Raw genomic sequence first — 1,744 nt, forward strand, 5'->3', positions numbered from 1 at the left:
GGAGGAAGTGGGATTGTGTAAAATGTTGCTAATGAGTGTTGTAGTGATTTATCTTTTTTATTTGATTTGATTCAAAATGGTGTCTTTGACATTGAATCTAGCAGAAATTCCACCAGTTTTCTGGTATATGGGTGATACTTTTCTTTAGCTATCTTTTCTGGCATGAACATTTTCCTCTCACATTTTCATAGTTTGTAGACAATTTTAATGGGAATTTTGGAAGCAGGATTAAGGACCTTATTGTAAGCCCATGAATCTAATCTTATGCTTTTGATTTATATTTGAGCCATATCCATTTATATTTTGGGAACAATAAATGAAAAATGAAAAATACTTGAAATCATAGTGTTTTGTTAGCCAGAAAGACACATTATGTCTTAGCTGAACCTGAGAAAAATATCTTTCTAAGCTACTTATTCTTTATGGTATAAGTTGCTTCGGTATACATTTTTTTTTCATGTTCGGTAATGTGCTGATGTTATAAAAAGGTTTGAGGAAGGTACATTTCACACAGGAGTGTGAAAACCCAATCATCATGCTTATGAACTGCAAGAGGATTCCTTATACATTTTCAACTAAATATAGATGATTGATAGATGGATAGATAGATAGATAGATAGATAGAGACAAAATTGCAGTTATTTTATTTATATGGCATAGGATTTAAGATAAAATGGAAAACACCATATGAACAAAAGGAAGAAATTATCTGAAATTATAACTAACGGAAAAATGAAACAAAGATTTTTGAGAACATGGGATAAATTTTCTGGGGTATAGCTAAGTTCACATACTTTACAATATAGAGGGCACCCCTATAGTAACTTCTTTTTAACTATAGAAGATTTTAGAATCCTATTAACCATTTCTTTCAGCCATCTTCCATTCCTTATCATCCCCCTGACTCTCTCCTCAATAGCTTTAAGAGAGAAAGATAGTGGTAAAGGATGAGATATAGTATTGGGGAAGATTGAAACTCAAAGCTCTGTTCAGACAGAATAGAAACCAGAGAAAAATGATGTTATCTTCTGAGTCCTGGTTTTGGTTGCCTCCAATCGTTTTTCCTTTGTCTAATATGTCTCACTTTTGTACTTAAAAAAAGAACTATTAATCGAATCACATTACACCTCAACATTATTTTGTCCCTTTTGGCCATCTTTAAATAATTATACAAATTGTATGTGATATTTACCCAGTCAAGAAATCTCACAGAGGTTCTCAAACATTTGTCTAATTTTTTCTCATTGAAATGTATTACATTCTAACTTGGAAAATGATTATTCAAGTGATACTTTTTAAAAACAGGATTATTTCAAAATATAATATTTACTTAGGGTCTACTTTTATGGTGATTCTATTTCCTTGTTATTTAATGAATTGGTTAAAATACTTCAGGAATTATCTTTTCGTATGATACCACTGTTTTAAATTTCATCTTCTGGAGATGAAATATTTAAAAGTTTAACATTACCAAAGTAAACTAATCTTTGCAATGACTTTTTTCGTGACATTTAACAAAGTGTAGACTACAAGCCACAATGTATCTGATTTGTAAGTGGCCATGACAATAGTGGTTACTTACTTCCTTCAGGCACTATTTCTGTTTTTGCTTGCTCCAAAAGGAGGTATTTTCTTTGGCTCTTCTCTGTACAATGCCACAGATCTATTGGCTAAGGAGAACCATGTGTTAAGTATTTTTGAATTTTACAAATGAGTTTTTGTCATTGACTATGGGGAAAAACAA

At 31.2% G+C, this 1,744-nt stretch overlaps 1 non-coding gene across 1 annotated transcript; it reads right to left on the reverse strand.

Moving 5' to 3' along the window:
- Window positions 1–453: 453 nt before the first annotated feature.
- On the reverse strand, window positions 454–558 carry LOC124902089 (small nucleolar RNA U13). The gene has a single exon (XR_007061219.1). It is a non-coding gene; the product is annotated as a small nucleolar RNA U13 (small nucleolar RNA).
- Between the last annotated feature and the right edge of the window lie 1,186 nt (window positions 559–1,744).

Source organism: Homo sapiens, chromosome 8 (assembly GCF_000001405.40).
Source record: "Homo sapiens chromosome 8, GRCh38.p14 Primary Assembly".
NCBI classification, from domain to species: Eukaryota; Metazoa; Chordata; class Mammalia; order Primates; family Hominidae; genus Homo; species Homo sapiens.